This window comes from Homo sapiens, chromosome 3 (genome assembly GCF_000001405.40).
Source record: "Homo sapiens chromosome 3, GRCh38.p14 Primary Assembly".
In the NCBI taxonomy this organism is placed as follows: Eukaryota; Metazoa; Chordata; class Mammalia; order Primates; family Hominidae; genus Homo; species Homo sapiens.
Genome location: NC_000003.12, coordinates 137578124 through 137599393, shown reverse-complemented (window position 1 = coordinate 137599393; position 21270 = coordinate 137578124). Strand labels below are relative to the sequence as shown.

The window sequence follows — 21270 nt, the reverse complement described above, 5'->3', positions numbered from 1 at the left end:
TTGAGCATCGTTTGTGATTTTAAGGTCCTCTAAAAGTATTAGGGCGGCAGCAGCTGCTGCACGGAGACATGATGGCCAACCTAAAACAGTAATGTCAAGTTGTTTGGACAAAAAGGCTACAGGACGCGATCCCGGTCCTTGTGTAAGAATTCCAACTACACAGCCCTGCACTTCAGCTGTGTGTAATGAAAAGGGTTGGGATGAGTCAGGGAGAGCTAGGGTGGGGCAGTCTCTAAAGATGTCTTCAAGGACAAGAAAGAGGAGTGGGGAAAGGATTTAGGATCTATGGGGTCAGCTAGGTTTTCTTTTGTGAGTTTATATAATGGTTTTGTTAGGATGGCAAAACCAGGTATCCAAAGGCGAAAGTATCCAACCATGCCCAGGAAGGAAAGGAGTTGTTGTTTTGTAGAAGGGGTTGGGGTTTGAGAGATCAGTCGGACACGATCAGCTGGGAGAGCGTGTGTGTTTCTATGAGAATTATGCTGAGATAGGTAACAGATAAGGAAGAAATTTGGGCTTGACTGAAGTAATGGGGGCTGTCTGTGAAGCTTTGCGGCAGTACAGCACAGGTAATTTGCTGAGCCTGATGGGTGTCAGGATCAGTCCAAGCGAAAGTGAAGAGAAGCTGGGATGAAGGGTGCAAAGGAATAGTAAAGATAGCGTGTTTGAGATCCAGAACAGAATAATGGATTGTGGAGGGAGGTATTGAGGATAGGAGAGTATATGGGTTTGGCACCATGGGACGGATAGGCAAAACAATTTGGTTGATAAGGCGCAGATCCTGAACTAACCTGTAAGTCTTGCCTGGTTTGAGGACAGGTAAAATGGGGGAATTGTAAGGAGAGTTTATAGGCTTTAAAAGGCCATGCTGTAACAGGTGAGTGATAACAGGCTTTAATCCTTTTAAAGCATGCTGTGGGATGGGATATTGGCGTTGAGCGGGGTAAGGGTGATTAGGTTTTAATGGGATGGTAACGGGCATGTGATCGGTTGCCAGGGAAGGAGTAGAGATGTTCCATACTTGTGGGTTAAGGTGGGGGGATATGAGAGGAAGACGCAAAGGAGGCTTTGGGTTGGGAAGAAGGGCGGCAATGAGATGCAGCTGTAGTCTAGGAATAGTCAGGGAAGCAGATAATTTGGTTAAAATATCTCAGCCTAATAAGGGAATGGGCAGGTGGGGATAACTAAAAAGGAGTGCTTAAAAGAGTATTGTCTAAGTTGATACCAGAGTTGGAGAGTTTTAAGAGGTTTGGAAGCCTAGCTGTCAATACCCACAACAGTTATGGAGGCAAGGGAAACAGGCCCTTGAAAAGAAGGTAATGTGGAGTGGGTAGCCTCCGTATTGATTAAGAAGGGGATGGACTTACCCTCCACTGTGAGAGTTACCTAAAGCTTGGCGTCCGTGATGGTCTACGGGGCTTCCGAGGTGATCGGGCAGCATCAGTCTTCAGCCACTAAGCCGAGAAGATCTGGAAAGGAGTCAGTCAGAGAGCCTTGGGCCAGAGTTCCAGGGGCTCCGGGAGTGGCTGCCAGGTGAGTTGAACAGTCCTATTTCCAGTGGGGTCCCGCATAGATGGGACACGGCTTAGGAGGAATCCCGGGCTGTGGGCATTCCTTAGCCTGGTGGCCAGATTTCTGGCACCTTTAGCAAGCTCCTGGGGGAGGCGGTTCTGTAGGAATGCCTGGCCACTGTGGTTTAGGCGTTTGGAAGTTCTTGTGTGCTGGAGATGTGGCTGGGGTTTGTCTTACAGTGGAGGCAAGGAATTGCAACTCAGAAATATGTTGCTACTTGGCTGCCTCTACTCTATTATTGTACACCTTGAAGGCGAGGTTAATTAAGTCCCGTTGTGGGGTTTGAGGGCCGGAATTTAATTTTTGGAGTTTTATTTAATGTTGGGAGCAGATTGGGTAATAAAATGTATATTGAGAATAAGACGGCCTTTTGACCTTTTAGGGTCTAGGGCTGTAAAGCGTCTCAGGGTTGCTGCGAAAGGAGCCATGAACTGGGCTGGATTTTTATATTTGATGTAAAAGAGCCTAAATGCTATCTGATTTGGGATAAAGAAAAAGGAGCATTAACCTTGACTATGCCTTTAGCTCCAGCCACCTTTTTAAGAGTAAATTGCTGGGCAGGTGGGGGAAGGCTAGTCATGGAACGAAACTGTAAGCCGGACCAGGTGTGAAGAGGGGAGGTGATAAAAGGATTATAGGGTGGAGGAGTGGAGGCTGAGGAAGAATTGGGACCTAGCTCAACCTGGCGAGGAGGGGAGAGGTCAGATGGATCTGTAGAAAAGGAAGATTAGAAAGACTCAGCGACACTTGGGGTTGGGACTGAGGGGACAGGTGGGAGGGAAAGAAGGAAGATTTGGGACGAGTTGCACTGGGAACAGAGACTAGGGAGGGACTGATGTGTAAAAGAATGCCTGGACGTAAGGCATCTCAGACCGTTTGCCTATTTTACGACAAGAATTATTTAGATCTTGTAGGATGGAAAAATTGAAAGTGCCGTTTTCCGTCTATTTGGAACTACTGTCCAGTTTGTACTGGGGGTCAAGTGGCATTGCAGAAGAAAATAAGGTGCTTCGATTTTAGGTCAGGTGAGAGTTGAAGAGGTTTTAAGTTTTTAAGAACACAGGCTAAGGGAGAAGAAGGAGGAATGGAAGGTGGAAGCTTGCCCATAGTGAAGGAGGCAAGCCCAGAGAAAAGAGAGTAGAGACACAGAGAAGGGGTGGAGGGTTCTTGCCCTCCAGAAAAGCAGACAAGGGGTCGGGGCATGGAAATAAGGGGTTGGGGTGCAGAGATAAGAGGTCGGGGCATGGAAATAAGGGATCGGGGCACAGAGATAAGAGGTCGGGGTTCCTGCCTCTCCCCCAGAAAAGAGGGACTTGCCGCTAAAGGTGAAGGACCAAGGCAGGTGTCCCTGCGTGGTCTGACACCTCTGAAACCTGGGTGAATAATCAAGAGAGGCATCCCTGCAATGATTAAACACCAAGGGAAGGCTGCCTTCCCTAGTCCGTGACCAGCGCCGGAGTTTTGGGTCCACAGATAAAACATGTCTCCTTTGTCTCTACCAGAAAATGAAAGGAATTGAAATAAAGAGAAGGGAGAGATTGAAGTGTGGCGCCAAGATTGAAATAAGAAAGAGGTTGAGGGATAGTGAAGGAGGTTGGAGAAGAGAGTAAAATGAGGCTGCTTACCGGATTTGAAATTAGTGAGATGTTTCTTGGGCTGGTTGGTCTGAGGACCTGAGGTTGTAGGTGGATCTTTCTCACAGAGCAAAGAGCAGGAGGACAGGGGATTGATCTCCCAAGGGAGGTCCCCTGATCTGAGTCACGGCACCAAATTTCACTCACGTCCGTGTGAAGAGACCACCAAACAGGCTTTGTGTGAGCAATAAAGCTGTTTATTTCACCTGGGTGCAGGTGGGCTGAGTCCAAAAAGAGAGTCAGCAAAGGGAGATGGGGTGGGGCCGTTTTATAAGATTTGGGTAGGTAAAGGAAAATTACAGTCAAAGGGGGTTGTTCTCTGGCAGGCAGGAGTGGGGGTCACAAGATGCTCAGTAGGGGAGCTTTTGAGCCAGGATGAGCCAGGAGAAGGAATTTCACAAGACACTGTCATCAGTTAAGGCAAGGACCGGCCATTTTCACTTCTTTTGTGGTGGAATGTCATCAATTAAGGTGGGGCAGGGCATTTTCACTTCTTTTGTGATTCTTCAGTTACTTCAGGCCATCTGGGCACATACGTGCAAGTCCCCGGGGATGCGATGGCTTAGTTTGGGCTCAGAGGCCTGACACTAGGACCTTTGGAATCCTCTACATGATGCATCATATTTTTTGTTCTTTGTATAATTTTAAGTTATTCCTCACCTGTATATTTTGTGGGTTTACATGTCTTCTTCCATTTTTTTTTTCTTCTTTTGAAGACATCTTCCTTCCCCTGCCCCAGCAATTACATCTCTGACTCAGTCAACTAGCCACTGAAGATTATCATAACCCCTTGGAATTTTCCCTGGATTGCTGATAAGTTGCTTTGAAAGTATTCTCTTGGTTTGTTTCTTGTTACTGAATTTTAAAATTCTAACTTTCATTTTTATCACCAGACACTTTATAATATAAGGTAGACATGTAGTGAATTTTAACTTGCCCACAAGGCTATGGAAGTAAACTGCATGTAGTCAGTGTTGATGCTTTTTGCATCACCCCGTGGACCAGTTTCCATCCAGTGTCAGAACCCTATCTAGAATATTCCCTGACCATACAGCTCCTTCTCTACTTTCTCTGAGAAGCTGTAATTTCTCTTATCTAAAAATCTCACTTCCAACCCTTGTCCCCGTGAGGCATTTTGCCAATCTATGATTGAGTAATTAAAGTCTCTCATTATTACTACCTGGCCTAATTTTGCAGTTTCCACAATCTCAATTAACATTTCTATCTCAGTGTCCTGGTCAGGTGGGCTGTAACATATTCCTATTATGGCTTTTTAATTATGTGAGAATAGAATGTCTACCCACAGAGATTCTACAGAAGTCCCTTTTTCTGATAAGATTTTTATCCTACTGCTTTGTAGAACTATACTTCACACAGCAGTATTACAAAAATGTATTTATTTATCCATCCTCTTTGCAAGATGTGTTTGAAGCAGCTTACAAAAATACCCACAAAGATAAAAAAAAAATTCAGCGAGAAAATAGGGACAAGGTAATAGAAGGGTAGAAAAATATGATGTAGCCAGAATAAGTTCATGCACCGTAAGTGCCGAGTACTGTTAGAGTGTGCTATAAACCTGCCTCAGAGTTTCCTCATGGCCAGAATGAAGAAGGGAATAGGATCAATTACATGGTTTAGAGTGTCTTTGAGGTAGAGTTAAAAGCAGTTGCTTAGGAAAGGCACAAAAGCGTCTTCTTCAGAGGTTCAAAATTTCTCTCCTGGGTCCTGATACATCCTCAATAACATTCTTACAGTAAATGCAACATGTTTCACCAATTAAGTTCTTAGTGTGCTCCCCCATGTAGGATTACTATACAAATGGCAGCATAGAATTTGGTAAGAACAGTACTATGGATGACTCAAGTGAACTACTAATAAGTATTAAGCGGTAATGGATTCAAGAGCATCCTCCCTGGCGAGTGATTGGCCTGAATATATTCCATGTGGCCAGGTGAATGCAGGGCTCAGTGCTTCAACAACCAACTGTACAAGGGTTGAGTGTCATGACTGTGGAGAAACATTGCTGGGACCTCAACTAAAAATAAAACCAATTGTCCTCCACATGAAATGCCCACAAGTGAAAATCAAGCCTTTACACAAAAAGCAGTTTAGGATCAGAGCCAATGTTTGGGTAGGGAGGTGCTCACAGCCACACCATTTTGGCTTGTGAACACTCCTAAATACATGTAGGTGAATGCAGACCTCAGTAAAGTGCCCCTAACTTTAAACAATGTATTTCCAGGTCAACTATCCAAGATAACCTGATAGTAAAATGCTTGCTCTATCAGTTTACAAAATCACTTACAAAAATGTTAGATTAAGCCACTAGCCCTGGAACCAATTATGGATATAGACTTTTTGCTAATGCATTTTAGCTAAGGCTAGTTAAAAGATGAAAAATATTTACTAAAATCAATGACTTTCATTTTGGGGTAACTGATCTTGCTATCAATTGAACGCCCTAGTAGTAGTTAGAAAGTAAGAGCAAGATGGACCAGAAGAGCAAAAGTCCATTCTACATGGACTTTTCCATTCATGGAAATAAAATAACATTATCTGCACATAGGCGTTTGCCGATTTTTCTGCTGCCTATAGTAGAGTGTCTGATGGAGGATGGATAGTGGACTATAGTCTCAAGTCATTAAGGTAAAAGTTAGAAATAAGGTGGTGGTGGGGAGTAGAGTATAAACCTGCTTTATTCCAGTGGAAATTCCCTGCTCCATCAGACAACTATCTTGCTGTCTCATGGGAATATTATATGCAGATTCAGTGTAAGTGTGTATAATTTAGAGTCAATATAGGTGTATTGGCCAGTAAACTAATTCTTTCCACAGAGCCCAAGGAAGGATCAACAAAGCTAGGCATCTGACTCATGAAAATGTCACAAAGATGCTTTTAAGTCTGCAAATGGTCAATAATAGAGCAGGCATCCCAAAGCACCACCTACTTCTCAGGGAGAACGCTGGCTGGCAATAAGCTTAGAAGAAAATTGTGCACACTATCTAGGAACCAAAGAGGTCTAGAGATTGAGGGCTATAAAGAACTGTGCTACTAAGATATGAGATATTCTAAACTTTGGTCAAACCACATAAGAGTATAGCTGAAGTGGTGGTACCAAGTAAATACACTCTCTGGAACTGGAATCTCCCTTTATCATGGCCCTTGAACAGCTCTTGGAGGTAGCTTTATTCTTGACAGATGCTAAATTAGCCCAAGATTTCTAATCCACTCTACTATACAAGGACTAGTTCTAAGGCCATTGTATAAACTCTACTTAATGGGATGTTAGAAGAACAAAGGCCATGTTTAACCCAAATGTTGGTTAAGTAGTTCAGGTAAACTTGGCAGGAGACAAGGTTGAAAAACACTTCTCAAAGCACAATCACAGAATAACTTCAAAACAATGTCTAATAACAAAGAGCAGATAATAGACTTGGAGAGATCATTTTGAAGTCATCAGTGTTGATACCTCATATATCACAAATCCTGGGCTTATGGCCCCTTCTGCATCATTTCCTTTTTAAAAAGATAACTATTGAGATGTAATTCCCATACTATAAAATTAATATTTAAAATGTGTACAATTCAGTGTTTTGTAGAATATTCACAAAGTTATGCATTGATCACAACTGATTGTAGCACATTTTTATCACCCTTTAAAAAAATTCCTGTACCTATTAGTGTTCACTCCCCATTTTCTCCTCCCTCATTCCTTGACCACAACCAATCTACTTTCTGTCTCTATGGGTTTGCCTATTCTGGACATTTCAAATAAATGGAAGCATATAATTGTGGCCTTTTGTGTCTGGCTTCTTTCACACTTCTTATCGTTTTCAAGGTTCATCCATCTTGTAGCATGTATCAAAACCTTATTCCATTATATGGATATACCATATTTTGTTTATCAGTTCATCATCAGTTGATGGGCATTTTGTTTCTATTTTTTTATATTATGAGCAATGCTGCTATGACCATTCATGAACAAGTTTTTGTGTGGACATATGTTATTATTCTCTTGGAGATATACCAAGGAGTGGAATTGCTGGGTCATATGATAACTTTGTTTAACTTTTTAAGGAACCTCCAAACTGTTTTCCAAAGCGGATACACCATTTGGCATTCGCATCAGCAATGTACAAGGGATCAAATTTCTTCATATCTTTGCCAACACTTGTTAGTAGCCCTATTTTTTTTATAGCCATCCTAGTGGGTATGACGTGGTACCTTATTGTGATTTTGATCTCCATTTCTCTAATGGCTAATGATGTTAAGCATTCTTCTCCCCATGGTTTATTGACAAATGACCTCTTTGAAGAAATTCTATTCAAGTACTTTGCCCATTTTTTAAAATTTAAATTTTAAGAAATTGGGTCATTTGCAATGTGGGCAGTTGTGATATCAAACACTTGCAGCTGTTTGCTTTTGACAAGTGTCTGAGGGTAGGGCTGGTCACACAAAATGAACCCTGACTCATGTAAAAGACAAGCCCTGAGAATGGAAGTTTCAAACAAGTTCCCAGACAGCTTAAATAGTGACAAGTATCTGGGGATGGGAATTCTGGGGAGCTTGAAACCAATTTGTGCCTTGTTTCCCATTCTCCAGTGGCTAATGGGCTTCTGGTTTTCACAACTACTGTGTTTGTGAGGTTGCTAGCTTTCAAAGCTACCGCAGAGCTGGGGAGAAGGGCACGGGAGTAGGACAAGTCAAAAGGACATAAGGTTGCTGTTCTTAGAGAAATGAAGTTGTTGTTCTTGAATTAACTCTCCTTTGATTGTTACGAGCCTTTCTGAAAAAGCTAATTTTGACAGTTTTGTCAGTATTCTCCTTGCTTTTATGAAGGGATGGAGTCCTACTTCATCACTCTAGAGGGTGAGTTCTATATTATTTCGTTTTGATGTAGTCTATCAACATTGCAATTAGCCAAATACTTTGTTGACTGGAATAGTTTCTTGAGTAATCCGATTGCTTTCTTTTTCTTGGAGTAAATATAATTTTTTAAAGCCACCTTCCTTTTCTCAGGCTTAGCAAGAAGTCAGGGCAATATCAAGGGAGCTATTTAATGCCTTCAAGGCCACAGATATATTTGGAGAAACATGTGCCTAAGTGATGACAATAAGTGCTAAGGTTTGAACATAACAGGAAGGTGGTCACACTGGCTAGAAGGGGAAGATACAAGAAGAATAGGTTTATAAACTCTTCATGATTTTTTACACTTAAAAAAATTTTAATTTCTAACTTTTGTGGGTATATAATAGGTATTTATATTTATGGGGTACATGCTACATTTTTATATAGGAATGCAATGCATAATAATCACATCAGGGTGATTGGGTAATCGTGATTTTGTATACTTTTCTGAAGTGGTTACAACATTATCAAATGATGTGAATTTTGAGACATGTTACTGAGTTTCTAAATATTTGGCATGAATATCAACTAAAGAATGAACGGCTTCTGGATTCCCCTCTCAAAAAACTTGCACATTAAAAGAACTTTTAAAATGTATGAGCACAAACAGAGTGAAAATGCAACCCATGAAATGGGAGAGAATACCTGAAAATCATACATCTGATAAGGAGTTGATGTGTATCTAATAAAGAGTTAATTATCCATTTATCTATCAGTGGTTAAATAAAATGTGGTATATACATAAAATGGAATTTTATTTGGCCTTAAAAAAGAAGGAAATTCTGACACATGCTACAACATGGATGAACCTTGAGGACATTATGGCAAGTGAAATAAGCCAGTCTCAAAAAAAGCAAATATTGTATGATTCCAATTATGTGAAATATCTAGAGTGTTCAAATTCATAGAAACAGAAAATAGAATACCGATGGCCAGGGAGATAGAGAAATAGGGGATGAGGAGCTGTTGTTTAATGGATACAAAGTTTTAGTTTTGGAAGATGAAAAGAGTTCTGGATATTGGTTACACAACAACATGAATATACTTAACCATTACTGAACTATACAGTTAAAAATGGTTAAGACAGTAAATTTTATGTTACATGTTTTTACCAGTAAATATATAAGTGATCTCTTTCTCTGTATATATGTGCAATTATAGAGGTATATAAATATAATACCTGCCAAAGTGCATGGAGGGAATATTTACTATTCAGCCAGGGACAAATGGCTAGAGTGAGTAGGGAGGCTTACCCAGTGATGGCTTCCAAGGAGATGTGTGAGCTCGACCTGTGGTCTAAAGAGGGAACCTGTGCACATGAGTATAAAAATGGCACAGTGTAGGGACTCAACAGAGGGACTTTTGCTTGTGGTTACATGGACTTATGGGCATTGAGTGGCAGTGCTTTTTAGCAGCAGGGAGATGAGATCAGATAAAAACAGACAGGAGGCTGGGTGCAGTGGCTCACACCTGTAATCCCAGCACTTTGGGAGGCCGAGGCAGGTGGATCACGAGGTCAAGAGATCGAGACCATCCTGGTCAACATGGTGAAACCCTGTCTCTACTAAAAATACAAAAATTAGCTGGGAGTGGTGGCATGCCCCTGTAGTCCCAGCTACTTGGGAGGCTGAGGCAAGAGAATCGCTTGAACCCAGGAGGTGGAGGTGGCAGTGAGTCTAGATAGCCCCACTGCATTCCAGCCTGGCGACAGAGCAAGACTCCGTCTTAAAACAAAACAAAAAAACAAAAACAACAACAACAACAAAAAACAGGATACTGAGGAGGGTGCTGGGTTTAAATTTCCTAGTGAGCTCCCAACTGATTCCATGAGTCAGAGGATTAAAGGCCTAATTCTGGATAAGCGTGCAACACATTAAAAATTGGTCATTTGTGTTGTCTGCTTATTCCTTTCACTTGGAAAAATATACAAGAGGGCAAGACAATGTAAAACCCCAACTAGCCAGAGGAACCAAGCCCTAAAGAGGTTCTCTCACAGGGGGACTTCTTTCAGAAAGATTCTAATTACATGAGTTTATTGATCACACACATTCTGCCAGCCGCTTCTACTCATTTGCACGCTTCAAATGAAGAGAGCGGCCAGGGAGCTCTGTCCAGGGCAATGAGAAAACCACTGCCATGACACCCAGATAGCATCTCACACTTGTCATAGGGAGTCTTCTGCCATCTGTCCAAGGGAACAATCTGACAGAGCGCACAGGATGAAATTTTGCTAGCTTCTGTCTTTAGATAAGAACGCTATCGCTGGCTGAACATATTTTATGTATAACCTACCAGCTGCAAAGACCACTCAAGCATCATGTTTAAATATATTTGATACTATCTGGAATCCTGTTAACTCTTGCCAGGGTGTATGGATTTTAAAAAGCATATAATAATATTCAATAGATGCTCAGATTAAAAACAAAAACATATGAAAAATGACTGCAGTCCATTTCCGAATGGAAAGGATGTGGGGGAGGGAGGAACATGTGTGTTGAGCAGGACAATGGAGTGGCAGAGGTGGGTGGTCCTGTGGAGAATTGCACAGAGACTATTAAGGGAACAGATTGTAATTCACCTCTTTTCTCTGTCTCCTGATTGCAAATGGGGCCAGATATGGGGATGACTCAGTATTACAAAGCTTTATCTTCCTCTGTGGCCCCACTTGCCACTCATTGTTGGCTGATTTCAAGATTACTTCTCATAGTTTAGACAATTTTAAATTAGGTCAGAACCAATGTTTAGAAAAGATAGAACATAAATTCAGGCTTATCTATAACATTACTGTTACTATCCTCAAGAATTTGTACCAGTTCATGGTAAATTTTGTGCTACACACATCTCAACCTAAAGCCTTTGAAAAGTTAGGGTCCTCTAAAGGCAAAGCATGGTTTTACTTTGTCCTGAGATCACCTTGGGTATTTTGTCAATAACAGTAACAATAATGGGTCTTCGCTATTGATATGGTGTTCCTCCCTTTTAGTCATAAAGGTTTCTCCTCTTTAAACTTAAATACTTTAGTGTGTATTTACTAGGGACAAGAAAATTATTTTACATACCCATAATACTGTTATTAAAATCAGGAAATCTAACACGAATACAACATTACTATATAATCCATAGTCTATATTCAAATTTAATCAGTTGTCTCAAAATGTTATTTTATCTGAAAACATCCTATCAGAGACTTTTTTTCTGGTTTAATTGTCACGTCTCTTTAGATTCCTTTAATATGGAACAGTTCCTGGGACTTCCTTTGTTTTCTTGACCTTGACATGAAGAATCAGGAGGACTCTTTTGAAGAGTACAGTCATTTTTGTAGAGTATCTTTGAATGTGGTGTTTCCTCATGGTTAAATTTAGGTTATGCATTTTTGGCAAGAATATCACAGAAGTGATGCTGTGTCTGTCTCAGTGCAACATATTAGGAGACATATGATGTCAGTTGACCCAATATTGGTGATGTTAGCCATGATCATAGAATTCAGGTTGAGTCTCCCACTTAAAATTACCATTTTCCCTTTGTAAATGATATGTAGATTGTTGGAAGATACTTGAAAATTTATGTAAGTGTCCTACGCTTACCAAACTTTTACCCACTACTTTTATCCTCCATTTAGGATTTCCTAACTCAGCATTTATTACTTAATCATTAGTTTGAATTCTGCTGTGAGAGTTTTCTCTTCTCCTCTTATATTGATTTTTGTATGTGTGCACTTATTTATATAAGGATAATTCATAGATTCTTATTCTATTCAGTAAGTTATAATCCATTCCTACCAATATTTATTTTAATACTCAAATTTTTCCAGATTTGGCCAGTGGGAATGCCTTCAAAATGACTCTTACATCCCTTGACATATCCCACTGAATTTTTTAGCATAATTCAATAAAATGTTTCAGGTTCATCTGGTATTTTTCATGCCCTACTGTTGGAATTAACTATTTCTCCAAGAGTATTCAGTTCTTTATAGCAGAGAATGGCATTTAAAAACCAGTAACTATGTGCTAAGTGTGTTTATTCCTTCTGGAGCATTAAAGCTTCCAGACCCTCTCAGAGGTGAGGGCTAGGAAATATATGTGTATACATGTATGTATTTTTTTGTGTATAAAATCTATAATTTTTAAAAACTTCACATTAATACCTTAATTCCAATCTAACATGACAGGATGCATTCTAGTCTTCCTTCTCTCTATATCCCATTATCCTCAATATATTTACTAACTTGCTGACATGGTTTCGCTCTGTGTCCCCACCCAAATCTCATCTTGAGTTGTACTCCCACAATTCCCATGTGTTGTGGGTGGGACCCTGTGGGAGATAATTTGAATCATGGGGGCAGTTTCCCCCATACTGTTCTTGTGGTAGTGAATAAGTCTCATGAGATCTGATGGGTTTATCAGGGGTTTCCACTTTTGCATCTTCTTCATTGTCTTTTGCCACCACCATGTGAGAAGTGCCTTTCACCTCCTGCCATGATTCTGAGGCCTCCCTAGCCATGTAGTAAGTCCAATTAAACCTCTTTTTCTTCCCAGTCTCGAGTTGTCTTTATCAGCAGTGTGAAAACAGACTAATACAATAAATTGGTACCAGTAGAGCAGGGTGCTGCTGAAAAGATACCTGAAAATGTGGAAGGGACTTTGGAACTGGGTAACAGGCAGAGGTTGGAACAGTTTGGAGGGCTCAGAAGAAGACAGGAAAATGTGGGAAAATTTGGAACTTCCTAGAGACTTGTTGAATGGCTTTCACCAAAAACCTGATAGCAATATGGACAATAAGGTCCAGGCTGAGGTGGTCTTAGATGGAGATGAGAAACTTGTTGGGAACTGGAGCAATGGTGACTCTTGTTATGTTTTAGCAAAGAGATTGGCACCATTTTCCTCCTGCCCTAGAGATTTGTGGAACCTTGAACTTGAGAGAAGTGATTTAGGGTATCTGGCAGAAGAAATTTCTAAGCAGCAAAGCATTCAAGATGTGACTTGGGTGCCATTAAAGGCATTCAGTTTTATAAGGGAAGCAGAGCATAAACGTTTGGAAGATTTGCAGCTTGACAATGTGATAGAAAAGAAAAACCCATTTTCTGGGGAGAAATTAAAGCCAGCTGCGGAAATTTGCATAAGTAACCAGGAGCTGAATGTTAATCTCCAAGACAATGGGGAAAATGTCTCCAGTACATGTCAGAGGTCTTCACAGCAGCCCCTCCCATCACAGGCCCAGAGGCCTAGGAGAAAATGGTTTTGTGGGCCAGGCCCAGGGTTTCTGTGCTGTATGCACTCAAAGACTTGATGCCTTGCATCCCAACTGCTCCAGTCATGGCTGAAAGGGGCCAACGTAGAACTCGGGCTGTGGCTTCAGAGGGCACAAGCCCCAAGCCTTGGCAACTTCCATGTGGTGTTGAGTCTGTGAGTGCACAGAAGTCAAGAATCGAGGTTTGGGAAACTCCACCTAGATTTCAGAAGATGTATGGAAATGCCTGGATGCCCAGGCAGAAGTTTGCTGCAGGGGTGGGACACTCATGAAGAACCTCTGCTAGGGCAGTGCCGAAGAGAAATGTGGGTTGGAGCCCCCACACAGAGTCCCTACTGGGGCACTGCCTAGTGGAACTGTGAGAAGAGAGCCACCATCCTCCAGACCCCAGGATGGTAGATCCCCTGACAGCTTGCACCATTCACCTGGAAAAGCCTCAGACACTCAATGCCAGCCCATGAAAGCAGCTGGGAGGGAGGCTGTACCCTGCCAAGTCACAGGGGGAGAGCTGCTTGAGACCATGAGAACACACCTCTTGCATCAGTGTGGCCTGGATGTGAGACCTGGAGTCAAAGGAGATAATTGTGGAGCTTTAAAATTTGACCGCCCCATTGGATTTCAGACTTGCATGGGCCCTGTTTGTTTTGGCCAATTTCTCCCATTTAGAATGAGTGTATTTCCCCAATAACTGTACCCTCATTGTATCTAGGAAGTAACTAACTTGCTTTTGATTTTACAGGCTTATAGGCAGAAGGGACTTGCCTTGTCTCAGATGAGACTTTGGATTGTGGACTTTTGAGTTAATGCTGAAACAAGTTAAGACTTTGGGGGACTGTTGCGAAGGCATGATTGGTTTTGAAATGTGAGGCATGAGATTTGGAGGGGCTGGGGTGGAATGATATGGTTTGGCTCTGTGTCCCCACTCTAATCTCGTCTTGAATTGTACTCCCATAATTCCCATGTGTTGCGGGAGGGACCTGGTGGGAGATAATTTGAATAATGAGGGTGATTTCCTCCATACTGTTCTTGCAGTAGTAAATAAGTCTTATGAGATCTAATGGTTTTATCAGTGGTTTCCACTTTTGTATCTTCTTCATTTTCTCTTGCCACCACCATGTAAGAAGTGCTTTTGCCTCCTGCCATGATTCTGAGGGCTCTCCAGCCATGTGGAACTGTAAATCCAATTAAACCTCTTTTTCTTCCCAGTCTCAGGTATGTCTTTATCAGCAGTGTGAAAACCAACTAATACATTTGCTTAAGCCTAGAATAGAGATAAGGTAGTTTCAGAATCGGTACTGCCTACTTGTAAGAAGAGAAGATCTCCTAAATAGAGTTCAGTATCTGTTTCCAGTGTTTTGGTGGGGAGAGGGTGTGGAGGAGTAGGTGTGGTTGGGATAGACTTTACAGAGTTAAATACACAAATCTTAAGTGCACAATTCAATGCATTTTGACCCACATAACTGTCTTTTTACCAAGATGTAGAATATTTATCACTTTACTTGATGTGCCAGGGAGGGTAGTGTGCCCTGATTCCACAGGGAGAGGGCATGGAAGATCTGCATTCAGGACCATTACAGACTTGTTCTGTGTGTTTCTTCATTTGGCTGGTCCTAATTTATAACCTTTATGATAAAATGATAAAACTGTAATCATTAGCATAATTCTTTCCAGAGTTGTGAGACATTTCAGTGAATTATCAAACCTGAGGGAGGACATGGGAAACTCCTGGATTTGCAACCAGGTGGCAAGACATGTGAGCAGCCTCGGAACCCTTGAAGTGTGGCTGGCATCTAAAGTAAGAGGAGTCTTGTTGTGGACCATGCTCTCAACCCTGTGAAGTCTGACTTTAACTCCAGGTGGTTGCCATCAGAACTGTATTGCAGTTTATCAGTTAGTGTCAGAATATTTACCATTTTCTGTTTTATCGATTTCTGCTCTCATCTTTATTATTTAGTACCTTCTACTTACTTTCAGTTCATTCTGATCTTCTTAAGACAGAAGTTGAAATTATTGATTTGAAACTTTTATTTTTATCCTAATATAACCATTTAAAAGCATAATTTTCTTTTTACGCATTATAAACATTTTCAAATAATATTGTGTTTTCCTTAGCACCCATTTCTAAATACTTTCTAATTCTTCTAATAATTTCTTCTTTGACCCATGGATTATTTAGAAGTTATTTATTTACCAAATATCTGAGACATTTCTAGATATTATTTTATTAACAATTTCAACTTTAATTACATTTTTGTCCAAAAATCTATTACTTCTCTCTTTCAATAGCTTTTAAACACACACGTATATGGTCTATATATGATGCATTTTATATAGTGTACTTCTTCTAGCAAGATCAATCTTCTTTATTATTTATGGAAAACCCGTGCCTTGCACAATACTTGGATGTGTTAGGTATTCTATGAATGTTTGATTTTTCTCTCTGAGAGAAGGAAACATGGACCCTTGAAAACATTAAAATGTTTGCAAGGATGAAGGGTTATTAGAAAGGTTAGAAGGAGAAAAAAACTGCAGACAAGAGACACCATTGTCTCTTCACAATTTTTCCAAAGGTCAGTATTCCTGCTCTGGACTGTGCCTTTCCAGTAGTTGATTGTGTAATGCCATCACACTGTGAATGAACAGTATGAAGCGGGTGAAGAAATGAATCTTTCTGTGATCACTTACAGTCTAGTTAGGAATCTAAACATTCACATATAAACATGAATGTGCCATTTATTGTGTTCAAATCCCTTTCCTCTTTCTCTTTCTTCTTTTTCTTATAGATTGCTTTTAATTTTGGTACACTACTGCATTAAATATCATCTACCTGATAACCTAAGACCATTTATCTTAGACATTGAAAGAATGATGGAAAAGTTATTTAACCTTTCGTAAGAAAGTTTTGCATACACAAAGAGTCATCTTACCCTAATACAGGAAATTTGTTCACTAAACTTAATAAATTCGTTCACACAGTCTCAATAACTTAGAAATTTTTAGGACATCATCCAAATCATTTTTAAAAAGAGGCATTTCAGTGTTTTGTTGACTAAATGCCATGAGCTATATGATTTAAAACTCATATATCAAATTCAATAACATGGAAGTGAAGTATTAATCAATTTTGTGTAAATTTGCCTAGATGGCGAGCACATATCATGCCTTGGAAACTCAGTGAGCAGTGAGGAGTAGCCCTAAGTCCCAGCATGAGAGAAAACCTAAGAAGTTCTGCTGTTGGCCCAACCCAATTGTTATGAAGAGCTATTTAAATTAAGCCATCTGCACAAATGAATTGCTCTCTTCTGGTCACCTCTATTGTCCTAAAGCGGATTAGGAGAGAGGCAGGGCAGTGCTGCTTTGTACTTAATCCCTTAAAGTCAGAGACTTCATTCAGCCTACAGCCAGGGGCCCAAGTCAGCTCAGAGTTAAGGCTGAGATGGAAGAAGGATAATGCATTTTGTTTGTTAACCTAATCTTATGTGCCAGTTTACTTAGGCACACACCTTCTCTTCCCAGCTAGATTGTCAGTTCTGGGACCTCAGGAAACAAGCTTGAGCCCTGCACGGAGATGCAGTGTCTAGTAAATGCTTGTTAGATAACTTAGAGTTATCCAAAGTAATGTTTATGTTCAGTGGTTATAACTGAAGCTGCATTCTCTCTATCTTCCTACAGTCATGAAGAAAGTTTTTAAACCTCAAACTAGCTGACTTTTAACACTCGTACATAAACTTTACACAACTGATTGAATTGAAAATAATAATGAATTCACTCAAGCAATTAGTTCTTTGCTGATTGGCTCTCTGGAGCTTGACTTTATCAGATCATCACATTTTTAAAAAAGCTAGTTGAGTACTTGAGCTAGGCTATTGATTTTCCTTTTTATTTCTTTGGTAAAATAGTATGTATTCAGTGTATATACAATGCTAGAACAACCACTTTTGCAGACGTTTCATGGAAAAACAAGGAGACAAGGAGTCAAATGGATTTTTTTGGATCCTTGGAATCAAAGGTGACTTTTTATTTTTTGAGACAGAGTCTTGCTCTGTCACCCAGGCTGGAGTACAGTAGCATGATCTCGGTTCACTGCATCCTCCACCTCCCAGGTTCAAGCAATTCTTGTGCCTCATCCTCCTGAGTAGCCGGAATTACAGGCGTGCACCACCACACCTGGCTAATTTTTGTACTTTTTAGTAAAGATGGAGTTTCACCATGTTGGCCACGCTGTCAAAGGTGACTTTTAATTTTCAATTCTTAAACATTAAACATCATTTTCTGATAATAGAATCTGTGTAATTGTTATTACAAATACGTATGTTTGAATTTGGAAACAGCACATCTTATGCTCTTTCCATCAGGGACTTGGAGACAGTGAAAGAGAGAGAGAGAGAGAGAAATGCATATAAATCACTGTGTAGGGCATCTAGCCTGTACTCATTCATCCAATAAAAAATGTATTGAGAGCCTACAGTGTTCCAGGCATTGTCATAGTTCACTTCAACAAACAAAGCAAAATCTCTGACATAAGGGACTTTAGGAATAAGGTGGGACGGGAAGAGAAATTAGAAAGAATAAACAAGTAACTACGCAGCATACTATGTGGTGATAAGTACCGAGGAGGAATCAAGGCAGGCAGTAGGGATGGGAAGTCTTCCTCTCCTTCTCTCTTTTCCTCTCTTCTCCCTCTCATTCTCCCTCTCCTCTCTCTCTGGGGAGAGGGGGGGTTTGCTATATAGATGGTCGGGGTGGGCTTCATTAATAACGTGACATCTAAGTAGAGACCTGAAGAAAGTGAAGGAGAGAACCATGTGGATATCTGGGGTTTTCTGGGAAAAGTATGTGGAGTAAAGGGGGCAGCAAGTATAAAACCATAAGCTGGCAGCAGACCTTGCTCAGGGAATAACAGGGGGGTCAGTATGGCTGTAATAGGATGAACTGGGGTGGAGGGAGACATAAAGGATGAGTCAGAGAAGTGGTGGGATGAGGGTAGAGTACAGGCATTTTGGCTTTCACTCTGGAGAAGTCACAGTGGAGAGCCATTGGAGAGTTAGGAGAAAGAATAACTGATCAGGCTTACATATTAAAAGGGTAGAGAATCAGCAATAAATAAGAGTTTTTGTGGTTGGAAGTACTGTGTCATTTGTGATATAAAGGCCCAAGGCTTGAGTCATGGTTAGAACATCAAGAGTGCAAGCACAGCTCTCCCCTGGGTCCTCAGGGAAACTGTTCACATTTTCAGATGAAAGTTCTATCTTTTTTCTACTTTTATGTTAGAATCAGGAGGTACATGTGCAAGTTTGTTACAAAGGTGTATAAATTAACTCAAGATGGATTAAAGACTTAAATATAAAACTTCAAACTATAAAAATCCTAGAAAAAAATAGGAAATATCCTTCTCAATATTGGCCTTGGCAATGAATTTATGGCTAGGTCTTCAAAAGCAATTGCAACAAGGGCAAAAGTTGATAACTAGGACCTAATTAAATGAAACAGCTGCTGCACAGCAAGAGAAACTTCCAAGGGAGCAAACAGACAGCCTATGGAATGGAAGAAAATATTCACAAACTATGCATTCAACAGAGGTCTAATATCCAGAATCTATAAGGAACTTAAATTAACAAACAAAAACCAAATAACCCCATTAAAAATAGTTTCCTCTTTTATGAAACAGAGATGATGACACCCATCACTGTGAGTCTCTGTGAGAATGACTGGAGAGTATACAATCAATGTAGGGTATAGTATACAATGTAGGGTATAAAATACAATCCTGACTTTCCAAAAAAAAAAAACAAACAAAAAACCTAGTATATTGTAGGAAAAAGAATGAAAAATAGGTTATATGATTCATGATACTGACAAATTATTTCACTTTTTTCTTTATACTTATTGTGTTTTCCAGATTTTTCTCATTGAGCATATATAATTTTTTAAGTAGCTAGGTATAACTTTTAAAATAAACATAGAGGCATTGGCATTTGATAAACCTTAAAAGTCCTCATTTCAATGAAAAATAAAATAGTGAATGCAGAACTATTGACAATTCTCAAGAAGTGTTCAAAGGTGAGTTATCATGGGAACAATGGCCCCAACAATCCTTTCCTTCCCCAGTTTCTCTGCAAGTCAGCTTCAGGGAGAAGACACTGTGGGCAGACAGCCAAAGGGAGAGTTTCAGCAAAGATTCCAGGAAATCTGAAATGAAAGGAAGAGACTTCCAGTTTTTTAAAAATTTTTAAAAGACAAAATAATAAGCAAAGTTGGAAATAATCCTGGGAATAAGACTTCCTTTGCCATAATCTGTACTTAGAAAGGAAGTAGAAGGACATGGATGAAGCTGGAAATCATCATTCTCAGCAAACTAACACAGGAACAGAAAACCAAACACCGCATGTTCTCACTCATAAGTGGGAGTTGAACTATGAGAACACATGGACACAGGGAGAGGAACATCACACACTGGGGACTATCGGGAGGTGGGGGGCTAGGGGAGGGATAGCATTAGGAGAAATACCTAATGTAGATGAAGGGTTGATGGGTGCAGCAAAGCACCATGGCACATGTATACCTATGTAATAAACCTGTACATTGTGCACATGTACTCCAGAACTTAAAGTATAAGATCTTGAACTTTCCAGCCTTCAGAACTGTGATAAATACATTCCTATTGTTTAAGCCATTCAGTCTATGGTATTTTTGTTATGGTAGCCTGAACTGACTAAGACATTAAATTTACACACATCTACACACACACACACACACACACACACACACACACACACATATACACATACACACAGCCTCCCCTGCCATCAACATCCCTCAGTAGAGTGGTACACTTGTTACAATCAATGAGCCAACATTGAAACATCATTAGCACCCAAAGTCCATAGTTCATATTAGGGTTTACTCTTAGTTTTGTATATTCTATGAGTTTTGACAAATGTATAATATTATGTGTCCACAATTTTAGAAACAGACGAAATAGTTTCAATGCCCTAAAAATCCTCTGTGCTCTAACTATTCATCTCTTCCTCCCCACAGACTCCTTCCTGTCAACCACACACTTTTTATTGCCTCCATAGTTTTGCCTTTTCCAGAATGTCATATAGTTGGAATTTTACAGTATGTAGACTTTCCAGACTGACTTCTTTCACCTAATAATATGCATTTAAAGTTTCTCCATGTCTTTTTTATGGCTTGATAGTGAATTTTGTTTTAGCACTCAATACCGTTTCATTGTTTGGATGTACCACGGTTTATCCATCCATCCACTAATTAAAGGACATCTTGGTTGCTTCCAAGTTTTGGGAATTATAAGTAAAACAGCTATAAACAGCTGTGTGCAGGTTTTTATGTGGACATAGTTTTTAATTCATTTGGGTAAATACCCAAGAGTCTAATTACTGGATTGTACAGTAACAGTATATTTAGTTTTGTAAGAAACTGCTGAACTGTCTTCTAGAGTGGCTGTACCATTTCACTTTCCCACCAACAAGGAAAGAGAGTTCCTGTTGCTCCACATTTTCACCAACATTTGATGTTGTCAGTGTTCTGGATTTTGGCTATTCAATAGGTATATAGTGATATATCATTTTAATTTGTAATTACCTTATGAAGTATGATGTTGCATACCTTTTCATATGCTTTATCTATATTTGCTAAAGTGTGTCTTATTTGTTAAGAAGTCTGTTCAGATTTTTTGCCCATTTTTTAGTTAGATTGTTAATTTTCTTGTTCTTAAGTATTGAGTTCTCTGTATAAGAACATTTAATTTTATTAAAAATCCTTTATCAGTAAGTATTTTAGAAATATTTTCTTCCAGTATGTGGCTTCTCATTTTCTTGACAATGTTTTTCATCATCTAATATTTTTGTGTCTAATTGTTTTTGTACATATTGTATGTTTTTTCCAA

The 21270-nt window shown here is 39.9% G+C and overlaps 2 annotated features.

The window, feature by feature from the left end:
- Positions 3424-3982: an enhancer, noted in NCBI's record as "OCT4-NANOG-H3K27ac hESC enhancer chr3:137314254-137314812 (GRCh37/hg19 assembly coordinates)". NCBI's record gives its function as "activates a minimal SCP1, AML or CMV promoter by ChIP-STARR-seq in naive and primed H9 embryonic stem cells {active_cell/tissue: H9 hESC(naive and primed)}" and the evidence as "EXISTENCE:reporter gene assay evidence [ECO:0000049][PMID:30033119]".
- Positions 16366-16921: an enhancer, noted in NCBI's record as "OCT4-NANOG hESC enhancer chr3:137301315-137301870 (GRCh37/hg19 assembly coordinates)". NCBI's record gives its function as "activates a minimal SCP1, AML or CMV promoter by ChIP-STARR-seq in naive H9 embryonic stem cells {active_cell/tissue: H9 hESC(naive)}" and the evidence as "EXISTENCE:reporter gene assay evidence [ECO:0000049][PMID:30033119]".